Genomic DNA, 16,132 nt, shown 5'->3' on the forward strand with positions numbered 1-16,132 from the left:
ATAAATAAAGAAAACAATATTTAAGAACTAAAGGAAAGCATAACAATAATAAATAATCAAGTAGGGAATACAAATCAAGAGATGAAGATTATTTTTAAAATGGAATAGAAATTCTGAAGTTGAAAAGTACAGTAATTAAAATAAGAAATTCATTACAGGGTTTCAATAGCAGAGTTCAGCTGGCAGAATAAAACAAATGAGTGAAATCAATGATGGATCAAGAATTATAAGGAATTACAGAAAAAACAATGAAGAAAAAAGAAGAGTCTCAGAGATTGAGGAACATCATCAAGTGACCCAGTGTCAGTGTCCCAGAAGTAGAGAAAAGAAAAAAAAGTGAAGAAAATATATTTAAGAAATAATGGCTGAAAAGAACTAAAATATATATAGTAAAAGGCATCTGTATCAGTCTGCTCAGGTGACCATAATAAAATACCATAGACTAGGTGGTCTAAACAATAGATATTTATTTCTCACAGTTCTGGAGGCTGGGAATTATAAGATTAACGTGTTGGCTGACTTGGTTTCTGGCAAGGGCCCTCCTCCTGGTCGATAGACAGCAACTTATGGACAGGGTCCTTACATGCCAGTGAGAAAGCTCTGGTCTCTCTTCCTCTTTTTATAAGAACACTAATCCCATCATGGGGGTTCCACCCTCATGATCTAATCTAAACCTAATTACCTTTCAAAGGTCCCACCTCCACATGCTATCACATCCAGGGCTAGGGTTTCAATATATGAATTTTGGGGGGAGACAAACATTCAGTCCATAACAGTGTCCAACAAATGAATATAAATGGTGCAGTAGAAAATATTTACATAGTACAACAAAGGCAGTGAAAGAGAAACATAGAAACAAAAAATGCATGATATATATAGACACAAATAGCAAAATAGCAGAAATCAATACAAATAAGATTTCAACAAATAAGACGAAAGTAAAATCATGGAAAAAATATATATTAGGATGGCCAAAATCTGAAAAGCTGACAATACCAATTGCTGGTGAGAATGCAACAGAAATTCTCATTCATTGCTAGTGGGAATGCCAAATGGTACAAACACTTTGGCAGTTTCTTGCAAAACTAAGGATACCATAGAATCCAGCAGTAGTGCACCTGGGTATTTACCGAACTGATTTGAAAACTGCTGTTCATACAAAACACCACACATAAATATTTACAATTATTTTATTTATAATCACCAAAACTGGGAGTAATCAAGACGAAGAAGCCTGTGACTAGCCAGCCACTGCACTCCAGCCTGGACAACATAGCAAGACCCTTGTCTAAAACAAAACAAAACCCTTAAACAAACTACAGCTGGCAAACAAATATCCTGGTTAATGATTAAAAAAAATACACATCTCCATGACTAAATGGACTAATATAAATATTTCATAGAAAAGACATCAAATTCCAGATAAAACTTGAGTGTATTCAATCTAAATAAGTGAAATAAGTTTATTTCCTTACTTCTCATTTGGATTATTTGCTTCTCAAAGACAGAATTGTTCCTTGCAAGAAACAAATTTATACATACAATAGTTCTTTATTTAATTATTGTTTTATTGATTTCAAAGATTTAGCCAACATTGATGAGGACGAAATGCTATAGTTTATTGAGGCTAAATCAGTGTAGCCCAGGTTGGAAGTGCAGTCTCAGATGTCTTCTAATTGGAAATGTTGCAAGTTATATTATTGTTCAAAAATACTTACTCCCTTTCTTTAACTTCATGGGAAGAATGTTCTTCCCCCTACTGGTTGATCTTGGGCTTGGCCTTCTGTGACTTCCTTTGACCTCAGGCCGAATGTGCTTGCATTCTATACCCTCGCATTAGTATAATGCAGCATAGCCTATGGTTAAACAGGCTTTCAGGCAGGCTTCTGTGCTAGCAGTTTTCACCTATATTACCGTGAACCATAGAAATGGCGGATATGGCCAGATGCGGTGGCTCATGCCTGTAATCCCAGCACTTTGGAAGGCCAAGGCGGGCAGATCACGAGGTCAGGAGTTCGAGACCAGCCTGGCCAATATGGTGAAACCCTGTCTCTACTAAAAATACAAAAACTAGCCAGGCGTGGTGGCGCGCTCCTGTAGTCCCAGCTACTTGGGCGGCTGAGGCAGAAGAATCGCTTAAACTCGGGAGGCGGAGGTTGCAGTGAGCTGAGATTGCGCCACTGCATTCCAGTCTGGGCGACAGAGTGAGACTCCGTCTCAAGAAAAAAAAAAAAAAAAAAAAAAGAAATTGTGGGATATTTGACTTTTTACTCTCCAAAACCCCTGCATTTTTATATGATTCATTCAATCCTCATCTTACCTTGCTGCCGCCCCAGCCCAAGGCCCTGAGCAGAGGGGAGCGATGGCACCAGCAGCAGCCACACGCTCGCGCCTACTGCTAGCATCCTTGCAGCGCAACCCCCGCCCGCACCGCCTGCGGGAAGCTGGGGGTCTTGGAGCCTCGGTCTCCAGCCTTCTCCTGACTTTGGCTCCGTGCCACCCGCCAGGCTCACCCCCAACCACTACTCCTCCCACCCACCATTCCCAGTCCCTCCTCCCTGCCGGTTTCTCCTGGACATCCCTGGCCTGCTCCAGCAGCGCCGCCAGCTTCAACCTCACGCCCTTAGTTTTCACTTCTTATTTAATAGCAGAAGCACCGAACAAAATTCCCGAATAAAATTCCTCATTGGCCTCTGACACTAGACTACAAACATCAGGTGACTCAATATTGTGGGGGGAATTGGGCCAACTTGGCTTAAATTAATCCAAGCTTTGCTATAATATGACCTAAATCCCTTCATTTATAAAATGTAGATAAGGAAGAATTGGTATTGAATAAACATCTGGCACATCATTCTCGATATTACTACTGTATTACTATTCTAATAAAAATTATAAATTGTCACTTATTCAACAAAGATTTATCCAACCTCTCTTTTGTGCCTGAGTTTAAATTTCTCTTTCTGGAAAAGGAGACCCCTGGAATTCAGGGAATATGGAAGGTTACACCTACAGGTCTGTGATTGGCATATTGGAAGGGCCCACGAGACTTTGCCAATTGTAGAGTCTACCTCACCAGGGGTTAAGACGACTTGATTAGAATACATTTCTATACAGTTATGGCATCTGTGCTATTTCTAGCTTCCCCCTCTTTTTATCATTTCTATTACAGGTTCTAACATGCAACTTTAAAAATGGTCTCTCAAGCTCATGGCCTTCAAGCTTGGAATTAGGTTGGTAGGGCAGTATGTGTCTCTGCTTGCTAGCAGTAAAAAATGTTTGAATGGGAGATCTTTCCATGGAAAGGGTTTTTATAACTCCGTTACAAAGAGCAGCCTAACAATGCAGGGGAATGTCAAGTTTTTTCAAATGTTTTACAAGGATGTTGGGGAAGCGGATGGTCTCTCCAACTCTGTCTCCATGTTCTATGTATTGACTTGCAAAGAGAGCACACTGTGTTATTTTTAGTCAAGATAAGCAATGAAAAAATGCATTGGTGCATACCTTGCCTTCCATATTTTTGAACTTAAATTCATTTCATACTGCCTTCTCTTTGAACAAAGAATTTACCAAGATAACCAGTATGTCGCGAGTCTTCCTGCAGTGCACCTCTTTCACAACCTTGGCTCCCATTTCTCCTGGCACACAGACTTTTTTCTCGAAGCATACTTGTTCCACTTGTGATTCTTCCCTGGCAAACAGTCCTGCCTTAAATTCAACCTATCTCTTGGATATCTTTGTGGAATTCTTGCTGTCTTATACCTGATTGGATTGAACAGGTTAGTGTTTGATAGTTTATTTGTTTTAGCATATCAAATTTTTTTAAGGGGACAGAGTTAAAAATTGGCCTCCCTTAGTACCATCAAGATGAATCCACTCTTCCTCCATTTTATTGCATAAAAATGTAATGTAATACTATTATAGACCCTTGTGTGTATGAGTGCTTCCTCCATCTCTTGAGGGTAGAGACCCGGTCTAGTTCCCCTCCTTATCCTCAGCAGCTAGCCCTGGGCCTGACACCTAGGAGGCACTTGGTAAATGTCTTTTGAATAAATGAATGAATAGTGATCAGTAAATTAATGGAAAGCTTTTAACCAAGGGATGTGCACGGAGGCTCAGCATGACTGTGTTTACTATCTGTAGGGCTAGCGGAGGTAGAGGATAAAAAGCTGGAGATAATTGGGCAGCCTTTGGGAACTGATGGTGCTACATAGGGAAGATCTCTTGGAAGGGAAGGAAGATAGTGAAAGATGGTTAAACGGGGAAAGAGGTTAAAGGGGAAGGGGAATAGAAAGGGTGAGTGCAAAAAGAAACACCACCTGTCAGACTGGGCTCTTTTCCTTTCCCTCTCCTCAGCTCCCACAGACTTCCTTCGGGCCCCTTTTTTTCAAAATGTAATTTATTTTATTTAACAATCTAGGAAGTTCACAGCCACCAGCAGTTCTAGTGCAATTTCAGGTGTGATTGGGAATTCGGGAATCTCAGTGGAGCTGTTAGTGTAGCGAACCTTGTAAGTAAAATACATGCATACTTTTGATAGCACATACGAAGGTATCTCTCTAAAATTGACCTCATTGGTTTCATTCTCGGCAAATTGACCAGGGCTGTTCAACATGGCTTTTATCATGCCTGATATTAATGCATGTTCTCTTTTTACAATAAATTCATGGCCATCAGATGGTATCAATTTGACATACATGGCATCTCAGGGCCTTCACAGCCACCATAGGTTTTCTCCTCTCCATTCATTTTGTTCTTATAAAATGCTACTTTGCTTCCCCTGGAACTTTAGTAGTTTCCTGGAGCTCTGCTTCTGCCTCAGTCAGAGTCTCACTCATCAGCCCTGCAGCCACTGCAGCCTGGTCCCCACGCACCCCCATAGCCCCTGTTCCAGGGCCATTGCCCCTCTTTGGGTCCCTTTTGTAGTTCTTCTCCACTTGCTCCAATTCTGATCAGAAGAGTTGCTGTGCAGGATCAAGAATTGTAAGCAGGTGGAAAACAGCAACTGAATATAAAGTTTAGGAATTCACTAAGCCAAGAAGTTTGAAGATAGGTTGAAATACCAGGCTGTGGTATAATGTTTCACTCTTGAAGAGGTGGGCCTTCCAAGTGACTACTCGTATTTCCCCTATGAAATGTGATGTTCTCCATGGAAACAGCCCATGAACAGCCCAGTGTTCCATTTTTCCAAGGTCTGCCAGCATTGCTGCTGGGCTGACTTGGAGGGTTGGCTGGGTTAGACTAAGGTTAAGCCAAGATCTTTTCAAAGTAATTGGCATTTGGAAGTAACTACTGTACATTGCCAAAAGAAGAGATGATGATGACAAAGAGCTGTGACCTTAAAGGAATGTGACCAGGCTTTGACTGATTCTTTCTTGTCAAAATAGCCAAAAGAATGTCTGATCAAGGGTCATGTTGAAAGGAAAATTTCAATTTGCCTCATTCTTTTTTTTTAAACATAGGTTTTTTTAGGACGCAGGGAATAAACATTGTTTGGAATACAGGTTTTCTTCTTGTTTAATTATCAAAATATTTTTAGGATATCTGAAATGCCCTCTGAAATCTGACAGTTAATATTTAAAGTATAATTTTGACTCACTTAAATAAGAAACTTGTCTGCTGGGCAAAATGAGAAATTTTGAGCTCTTCACTTGGGTTCAGGGTGGTGCCATCTGTATCTCTGTACCCAAGTGCTCTGTGTATAGTGGGAGCTCAGTAAACATTTGGTGCCTGAGTGAAAAAGTTGAAATTCAATAGCATTATACAATCCTGATCTGCTGTTTCAGCTGGAAGCAGCTAGTTAGTTATGCAGCTCATTGGCCCTCAGCATTTTGACTTCTTTTGCTGTAGAAGCAGATAGAGTAAGAAGCTAGGCATACCTTTATATCACCTATTTTCAAACCTCATCATTAACAATAAATTTATTTTATTAGAAATGTGTGTGCTTGTAGAAAAAGCTTGCAGTGTAACAAAACTAGCTTTCTAAAAATGAATGATTCTATCTTTTGTAATCAGTACTTCATGCAGTTGTAGTCACTGCAAATGGGCAAGCAGATAGCTCCAAGATTCTGTAAAGCCACTATGATTTGAACTATACTCATAATAATATAGTTCTGCATTTTTCCTCATTGCAGTTATATGATTTTAAAAATTATACAACATAAAAATGCAGAAAGAAATGAAAACGCATAGTTGCCACTATTAGTATATTCCTAGGGTATTTTTGGTGTAAGAATGTGTGATAATCATAATTCTAAGCTAGCCCTCCATGATCTCTACCCTCTAGTTATTCCTGTGATTATGTTGTTACTTGGCAAAAAGAATTTTACAGAGGTAATCAAGTTACTGATCAGTTGACCCTACGATAAGGAGATTATCTGGGTAAGCCTAATCTAATCACATGAATTCTTTAAAAGCAGAGAGGTTTCTTTGGCTAGTTGGAGAAGCAGAAGAAGTCAGAGATTCAAATCATGAGAAGCACTCAAAATGCCATTGCTTGCTGGAAGATGGGAGGAGCCGTAAGTTAAGAAATGTGAGTGACCTCTAGGAGAGGAGAGTGACCCCTAGCCAATAGTCAGCAAGCAAATGGAAATCTCAGTCCTACAAACAAAAAGAACTGTATTCTGCCCAACAGCCTGACTGAACTTGGAAGCAAATCCTATACAGTACCTCCAGCTTGGCCAACATCTGGATTTCAGCCTTTGTGACTGACCCTAAGCAGAGGACCCAGTTAACATGTGCCAAACTCCTGACCCATGAAAAATGTAAGATAATAAATATGTATTGTTTACAGCTGCTAAGCTTATGACAGTTACACAGCAATAGAGACTAATGCAGATTTTGATACTGAAAGTTGATACTGCTGTAATTAATACCTAAAAGGTGGAAATGGTTTTGGGATTAGGCAGTAGCTGGAGGCTAGAAGAATTTTGAGGAACATGATAGAGAAAGGCTAAATTGTCTCAAACAGACTGTTAGTAGAAATATGGATATTAAAGATACAACTGGTGAGAGCTTAGAAGGAGGTGAAGAGCATTATAGAGCAAACCTAAATTTCCTTGGAGAAAGCCTAAATCATCATGAACAGACTTTAATTAGAAATCTGGGCTTTTAGAATACTGTTGGGGAAGACTCAGAACGAAGTGAGAATCATGTTATTGGAACTGGAGGAAGGAGAATCCTTGCTATGTGGTGATAGAAAGTTTAGAAAAATTGTGTCCTGCAGTTATGTGGAAAGCAGAATTTGTAAATGACAAACTTAGATATATAGCTGAGGAGATTTGCAAGCAAAGTGTTAAAGGTGCTGGCTTATTTCTGTCTTACTACTTATACTAAAATGTGAGGAAAAAAAAATAACTGGAGGGAAAAACTGGTAAACATAAAGGGATTAGGACTGGAGAATTTTGAGACTGCTCAACCTTTCCAGGTGGCAAGAAATGCTAAGAGTCAGAAATGGCTTCCAAAAGTATGGCATAGAGAAAAGAAAGACTGTGCAACTGTCCAGCTTTCACTGAAGCCTCAGGAAGACTAAAAGGTTAAAGTGTTCAGTCATAGAAAAGGCTCTTCTAAGATATTAAGGTTGTGACTCACCGATCCCATCAGTGAAACTAGAGGGCCTCTCAGAAGCTTAGGAGTGTTGTCCCTCAGTCATCTCAGCAGAAACCAAAGACAGAGCAGGGATCATCTCAAAAATGTTTGTGCTCATGGCTTTTGTCTAATGGAGTGAAACTCTGAAAAATTTAGGCAAGGACCATTCAGTGAGTTGAATAGTTTCTTCCTGTAATTCATATCTTCCTTGGACCTATGAATGTGAACTTGTTTAAAAATAGGGTTTTTGCACATGTAATCATGTTAAGGTGAGATCATACTGGATTAGAGTGGGCCTTAATCTAATTAGTGGTGTCCTTATAAGAAGAGGGAAATTTGGACGCATACATGCAGCATGCAGAGAGGAAAACAACATGTGAAGACAGGCAGAGATTAGAGTGATGCACCTACAAGTCAAGAATTGTTTGCAGTTACTAAAAGCTAGAAGAGACAAGGAAGGACTCTCCTCTAGAGCCATCAGAGAGAGCATGGCTCTGCTGATACCTTGATTTAAGTTTTGTAGCTTCCAAAACTATGAGAGAATAAATTTTACTTTTCACAGGCCATCTAGTTTGTGTAACTTGTTACAGGAGCCCTAGGAAACTAGTAAGGATTATAATGTTTTTGAGAACATTACATCAACAGAAATGCTACTAGAGTGGACTGAAAGAACTGAGGAAGTACAAAATGAAAGAAAACTATTGGGGCTCTCCCATATGCCAATTTTATTGTCAGGAAGCAAGCTAATAAAACCACTTGGCTGAAAACATTTTCCTTTCTTGATAATGGAAGGATGACTCAGAGGGCAGAATCAAGAACCCAGAAGGCTGAACCAAGAACCCAGGGTGCAGATTTGAAAACCATAGCAGGTTATTCCAAGGCCTGGAATAATAAACCTAATTAAAGAACCCCAGCTGGAGTTTCTGTGGGTGTATTTCAAAGTTGCTTTGGATTTGTGTCTCCTTTTTGCCTTCCATCTCTCTCCCTTTTTTATTGATTAATATATTTTATTAAAAAATGTATTTCTAGAGCTTATAAATGGGTAAATTTCAACATAGTATCAATGCAGACTAACAATATTTTAATATTTCTTTTTACTCAACAGTCACCTTTATGTTTTGCTTTCCATCAACAAATGCATTGGATTACAGCAACAGTAATCTTACCTTTAAGTTCAATGCCTGAGTTTCTTGACCACTTTATTTCCATTCGGAGTTTAGTAATTACTTAACTTCACATTTCTCTGTCACCAGTGATAATCAAATGGTCTACCTAACTAGCCAAAATCATAAAACTATTATAAGCCATGTCAATGGAATTTATAATGTTTATATGAAACAACTATACTGACACACATGTGCATTGGGGCCTATTCGAAATATGTCAAAAATAACAAGCTTTAAAGAATGAGGTCTTCAGGCAAAGAGGGAAAAGGGTCTTCATCATAAAAAATTATTAGGAAGATTTAGATAAGAAATCAGCCTACAATTTTAACTAAATAAAGGAGGAAAGGGGAGTACATAATCACAGTTTATGACAGTTGAAGAAAAGTCAGTTGCCATTCTATCACAAACTGGCTCACTATCTCAAGAGCTTAGAATCAGGCTCTTCAGGCATTTATGAAAACAACAGAATATTATAATGCTACTTAATCTGACAGCAAATAATAGAAGAAAAATTGGTGGCACCACACCTTCTCAACAACCTTGAAAACAGGAACTAAAATGAATAATTAAGAAACAGTATTCAAAGATCACTGCAAGCTGGGCACAGTGGCTCACACCTGTAATCCCAGCACTTTGGCAGGCCAAGCTGGGTGGATTGCTTGAGTGCAGGAGTTCAAGACCAGGTTGGGCAACATGGTAAAACCCTGTGTATTGGTCTGTTCTCACACTTCTATAAAGACACTCCCTGAGACTGGGTAATTTATAAACAAAGGAGGTTTAATTGACTCACAGTTCTGCATGGCTGGAGAGGCCTCAGGAAACTTACAATCAAAGCAGAAGGGGAAAGAGGCACCTTCTTCACAAGGTAGCAGGAGACAGAAGTGTGTGTAAAGGGGAAAGAGCCCCTTATAAAACCATCATATCTTGTGAGAACTCACTATCACAAGAACAGCATGGGGGAATCCACTCCCATGATCCACTCACCTCCCACCAGGCCTCTCCCTCAACACCTGGGGATTACAATTCAAGATGAGATTTGAGTGGGGACACAAAGCCTAACCACATCACCCTGCCTCTACAAAAAATATAAAGAATTACTGGGCTTGGGCTGAGTACAGTGGCTTATGCCTGTAATCCCAGTACTTTGGGAGGCCGAGGCAGGCGGATCACTTGATGTCAGGAGTTCGTGACCAGCCTGGCCAACATGGTGAAACCTTGTCTCCACTAAAAATACAAAAAAAATTAGCTGGGTGTGGTGGTGCATGCCTGTAATCTCAGCTACTTGGGAGGCTGAGGCAGAAGAATCACTTGAAACTGGAAGGCAGAGGTTGCAGTGAGCCAAGATCGTGCCACTGCACTCCAGCCTGGGCAAAAGAGCAAAACTCCATCTCAAAAAAAAAAAAAAGAATTACTGGGCTTGGTGGCGTGCACGCGCCTGTAGTCTCAGCTACTTAGAGAGCTGAGGTGGGAGGATAACCTAAGTCCAGGAGGTCAAGGCTGCAGTGAGCCATGATAGCACCACTGCACTCCAGCTGGGGTGACAGAGTGACACCCTGTCTCAAAAATAAACAAGTAAAATAAAACTAAAACAACGAGCACTGTATTATCTAATGCAATTTATAAAATAAGCAAAGTTCAGCAATCTTCAATGGAAAAGGTCATAGTATTTGAAAATTAAGAATGTTTTGATGCTGATTTTTATCAAAATGGTACTTCAAGCCATTAATTGGAACAAATTCCAAACTCACAGTTACTTGCATCACCTCACTTTAGAATCAAATCATGAGTCCATTTCAGCTAATAATTTATTTTGATTTTTAGCTTCATGGTCCACTTCAATGGAAAGAGATTTTGTAGCAGTGACTTTGCTTCTCAGACTTTCAGTGAGTCTCATTTTCTTCCTCACAGGCACTATACTCACTGTTAGCATAGCCATAGTTCCCATAGTTGGGAACTCCTGGGTACTCCTATACCCAGACCTGCCCGCCTCATCCTGCCAGAGAAAAGAAGGAAAAGGCAGGCATGTGGGGAGAAGTGGTGAGTGGGTAGGAAATAGGTAGGGGTGACCCAGAGCACATCTTCAGTATCAGTGCCCAGCGGAATACCAATTTCTTCCTAAAAGTGCCATGACATCAGTGAAATATAAATATTATGCCTTTTTCGAATTGCAATGTGTATAACTATTATCCTATGTTTGCCCCACTATTGTATGTTTGGAGTACTGGAAGATCATAACATGTCTCTTTAGTTTTACAGGTCCACAGATAGAGAGGAATTGTGCCTGGGGACTGTTATTATGGGTTACCCTAGAGCCCCATCCTCTCCTGATTTCTACATGATTTACGTGATGGGATTGGGGGCATATGAGCCATTGAGATTTAGATGAGAATTTTTGATTTTGAGTTGATACTCTAATGGGAATTTGGGGAAGACAGTATTCTAAATAGCCCCTTAATCTCTGCCCTCTATTGTCACCCCCTTATTATGTTATGTTACATGAAAAAGTGATTTTACAGATGCTATTAAGGTGACTAATCAGTTGACCTTAAAATAAGATGTCAACCACGTGGGCCTATCCTAATTACATAGAGCCCTTAAAACAAGAGAGTTTTCTCTGGCTTACTGGGGAAGCAAAAGTCAGAGATTCAAAGCCTGAGAGAAATTCAATGTGTCACTGATGGCTTGAAGAAGGAGGAACCTACAAACTGATGAATTTGAGTGACCTCTAGGAGCTGAGATTGATTCCTGGGCAACAGTTGCTAGCAGAGAATGGAGACTTTAGTCCTACAACCACAAGAACTGAATTCTGCCAACAACCTGAATGAGCTCAGGAGAATATTCCTCCCCAGAGTCTCCTGATGAGAACATAGCTCAGCTGACATCTTGATTTTATTCAACCTTTGAGATCCTGAACAGAGGGCCCAGCTACAATATGCTGGATACCTGACCCATGGAAACTATAGCTAATAATCTGTATTATTTACTGTTGTAAGTTTGGGGTAATTTGTTATGCAACAATAGAAAACTAGTGTGTGTGTCTATGTAACACTATGTGTATAATTCTATGCATTTATATTCTTTAAATAGAAGAGATGACATTTTTACAAAATCATATAAAATCGGTCTAGCCAGAGGTTTATAGAACAATCTTGTGAGTCAGTAATAAAATGAAATTTATAGTACAGATAGAATTCCAATTTTTAAAAAGCCCTTAATAAAGAGGGATAGCTCTAGGTTCAAGCTTCTTATTGCTTTATCCTTCTGGGAGAATCTGTGAGAAGGATACCTCATTAGTATATACTGTCAAAGGGTTGAAATCTCAATAAAACAAACAGTTCAACAAGTAATCATTTAGCACCTTATAAGTGCCACTGGACACTAAGGTTAGCACTGGGGGTTGGGTGATTTTTTTTTGTAATTCAGGACTATGAGAAATAAATTTATGTTGTTTATGAGTTGGTATAAGCTTATAAGAGCAAAGGATATTATAAGAGCAAAGGATGCATTCTTAGCATTGGATGCTCATATACCTCATCCAAGGGAGATGAGGTGAGTGTGGCTTCTTGACTTTCTCCTGTTCTTTACAGAACACTGCCCCAGCTGGTGGAGATGGCATTTTGCCTGTCCAGGTTGAGGTCCTTTCAGGTTGCAGGTTGCAGGAGGCCATAAGCAGGAGCTTACCAAGTCTCTTAATACCTCAAATTATGTCACTCCCAACCGCTCGTATAATTACTTTATAAGGCTGCAAAAACTGCCTTTAGTTAAGCTCCATTTCCTTGGTCTAACTAGTGTAGATTTCAGGTACAATTTCTTACTATGCCAGTGGTGCCACCCTTACCACATTGGTCTAGGTTTTAGAATAATGACTAAGCATTTCATATGAGTAGTTATATTAGAATGATGAGGAGTGTAAAATTGTTCAAGATGTAGCAAAGCTTAACATGAAGGCTGGGCTACGGTCCTCAAAACCTAGTTCATAGAGTAGTCCTGGGAATTAAATGATGTAAGGCATTAATTAAATGATATAAGTGCTTAATTCAATGCCTGGCATAAACGAACAACTCAATAAATGTTAGTTGCTATTGTTGTTAATTGCTATGACTTACTTGTTAGTGCCCTTATGGTAACAACTATTATTGCAAAATAATTACAGAAAAGAAGGGCTGATATTGGGAGAAAGAGGAGAGGATCTGGAAGTCCTGAAGAGGCTGAAGAAATAATAGACTGGGAGTAACTGAATGAGAATGTTGGAAGAAAGGTTGCAGTTAGTGAATGGAGTGTTTGAATTTAATATTTAGGAGATAGAATAATTCCAAGTAATGATAGAAGTATAGCAAACTGGGATGGACGTGGAGTATGTGTGATGTGAAATGGGAGATAGGAGAAGAAGGTCATTAACACTAAGGAAGCCAAAGGAGTCTGGAGAATCAGGTAGGGTATCCGTGTGGCTTTGGAACACTCTCAGGATGACAGCACAACTTAGACTACAGGAGGCAATGGAAAACACTAATGTCTTTAATAAAAGAAGGAAGTACCTGAATCCTTGTTGGTAGGATTTCCAAGACTGAGAGTGTCTCTGGATCCTGTCGTTTTAGCAGAACTACTCTGTGCACTATTTATACCCTTGTTGGAGTTCTCTCTACCTTCTAACTTCAGGAAGTGATTTTATTGTGCCAGTTCCCAGAAAGCTGATGGGGCAGTGTATTCATGCCCAAGCTGGCTGTTTGGAATACATCTAATGTACCCATTCTTCCAGCCCAGGCAAACTGCCCTTAAGAGCTACTTGATCCAACATCACGAAATCTGTTCTCATTCTAATTTAGAATGCAGGAACTTGTGTGGTGACTCATATGTTTGAAAAGCTCAAATTAAGTAGTGGTGATCTCAACCATGATTCACTGATGAGAACTGGAAAGTGATTCATCTCCTTTATGTGCTTGTCCTTGGGAGTCTCCAGGCTTAAAGGTCTTCCAGAAACACACTGCACTCAAGGAAAGACACTGGGCCCTCCTGTGGTGGTATTTTAGCAATTACACAGAGGCATTCACTACATTTTTTTACTAGGTCATTTCCTTTAGTTCATTTTATTCCCATCTACAGTCCACAAGATGCTCTTGTGCTGTAATGATTCACTGCCGATAAATGAAAAGTCAATGATACTTTTAGGTCAAAGGTGGGTGTACATTTAGTAAACCATTGGTGCAGATTCACAATTATCTAATATGTAGGGATAACTGTATTTTTCTTAGTATGTACTTGTTATCAAGGAGTAACTTTTTTCTTACCACAGTAACAGGGTTTGAATGTATTTTATATGATACTGTCAGAGGCGTTTAAACCAGAGCAACTCCATCTTGCATAGGCGCTGGGTAAAATAAGACTGAGACCTACTGGGCTGCATTCCCAGGAAGTTAAGTCACTCTTAGTCACAGGATGAGATAGGAGGTTGGCACAAGATATAGGACACAAAGACCTTGCTGATAAAACATTATGTGGTCAAGAAGCCTGCCAAAACCCACCAAAACCAAGATGGTGATGAAAGTGACCTCTGCTCTCCTCACTGCTCATTATATGCCAATTATAATGCATTAGCATGTTAACAGTTACTCCCACCAGTGCAGTGACAGCAGTTTACAAATGCCATGACAATGTCAAGAAGTTACCCTGTATGGCTTCAAAATGGGAGAATCCCTCAGTTCTGGGAATGGCCCACCCCTTTCCTGGAAAACTCATGAATAATCAACCTCTTGTTTAGCATATAATCAAGAAATAACTATAAGTATCTCCTTAGTCCAGCAGCCCAAGCTGCTGCTCTGCCTATAGGGTAGCCATTCTTTATTGCTTTACTTTCTTAAAACTTGCTTTCACTTTCCTCTATGAGCTCACCCCAAATTCTTTCTTGTGCAAGATCCAAGAACCCTGTCTTGGGGTCTGGATCAGGACCCCTTTCTGGTAACAATACCAAGAGGGAATACTAATTAAAAAACTAGTTTAAAGTTAAGATAACTTACACTAAAATAAACCAAAGATTCTTGTATACTGGTAATAGCACTGTGTGGAATTACAAATCCATACCCAAACAATCTACCTGACAAAGTAAGATCATATAATTTAACCAGATTAAGTATTTTTGCATCTACTATGCTGAGCAACCAGAACTAGGTAGGCACTATTGCTATGAATTTTCCTAGTATTTGTTTAAAAAAATTCACTATAGACCTGGTAAACAATCAATTACAATCCCATCTGATATAGTTGTGACCCTGTCCTCAGTTTGTAATGCTTCTAGCTAACATTTACAGTGAACCCATTTTGTGATAGGAACTGATCTAAGTACTGTCAGGCCTCTGAGCCCAAGTCAAACCATCGCATCCCCTGTGACTTGCATGTATACGCCCAGATGGCCTGAAGTAACTGAAGAATCACAAAAGAAGTGAAAAGGCCCTGCCCCGCCTTAACTGATGACATTCCACCATTGTGATTTGTTCCTGCCCCACCTTAACTGAGTGATTAACCCTGTGAATTTCCTTCTCCTGGCTCAGAAGCTCCCCCACTGAGCACCTTGTGACCCCCGCCCCTGCCCACCAGAGAACAACCCCCTTTGACTGTAATTTTCCATTACCTTCCCAAATCCTATATAAGACGGCCCCACCCTTATCTCCCTTCGCTGACTCTCTTTTCGGACTCAGCCCACCTGCACCCAGGTGAAATAAACAGCTTTATTGCTCACACAAAGCCTGTTTGGTGGTCTCTTCACACAGAGGCGCATGAAATTTGGTGCCGTGACTCGGATCAGGGGACCTCCCTTGGGAGATCAATCCCCCATCCTCCTGCTCTTTGCTCTATGAGAAAGATCCACCTACGACCTCAGGTCCTCAGACCAACCAGCCCAAGAAACATCTCACCAATTTCAAATCTGGTAAGCGGCCTCTTTTTACTCTCTTCTCCAACCTCCCTCACTATCCCTCAACTTCTTTCTCCTTTCAATCTTGGCACCACACTTCAATCTCTCCCTTCTCTTAATTTCAATTCCTTTCATTTTCCGGTAGAGACAAAGGAGACATGTTTTATCCGTGGACCCAAAACTCCGGCGCCGGTCACGGACTGGGAAAGCAGCCTTCCTTTGGTGTTTAATCATTGCAGGGATGTCTCTCTGATTATTCACCCACGTTTCAAAGGTATCAGACCACGCAGGGACGCCTGCCTTGGTCCTTCACCCTTAGCGGCAAGTCCCACTTTTCTGGGGAAGGGGCAAGTACCCCAACCCCTTTTCTCCTTGTCTCTACCCCTTCTCTGCTTTTCTGGGGAAGGGGCAAGTACCCCAACCCCTTCTCTCCTTGTCTCTACCCCTTCTCTGCTTTTCTGGGGAAGGGGCAAGT

At 40.3% G+C, this 16,132-nt stretch overlaps 1 pseudogene, besides 1 other annotated feature; it reads right to left on the minus strand.

Annotated features, from left to right (window-relative positions):
- Positions 4,409-4,749, minus strand: ELOCP18 (elongin C pseudogene 18; annotated as a pseudogene).
- Positions 13,147-14,346: an enhancer, noted in NCBI's record as "P300/CBP strongly-dependent group 1 enhancer chr1:68849743-68850942 (GRCh37/hg19 assembly coordinates)". NCBI's record gives its function as "activates an origin of replication core promoter dependent on BRD2, BRD4, P300/CBP, MED14 and CDK7 cofactors, with strong dependence on P300/CBP, by STARR-seq in HCT116 cells {active_cell/tissue: HCT116}" and the evidence as "EXISTENCE:reporter gene assay evidence [ECO:0000049][PMID:35650434]".

Source organism: Homo sapiens, chromosome 1 (assembly GCF_000001405.40).
Source record: "Homo sapiens chromosome 1, GRCh38.p14 Primary Assembly".
Lineage (NCBI taxonomy): Eukaryota > Metazoa > Chordata > Mammalia > Primates > Hominidae > Homo > Homo sapiens.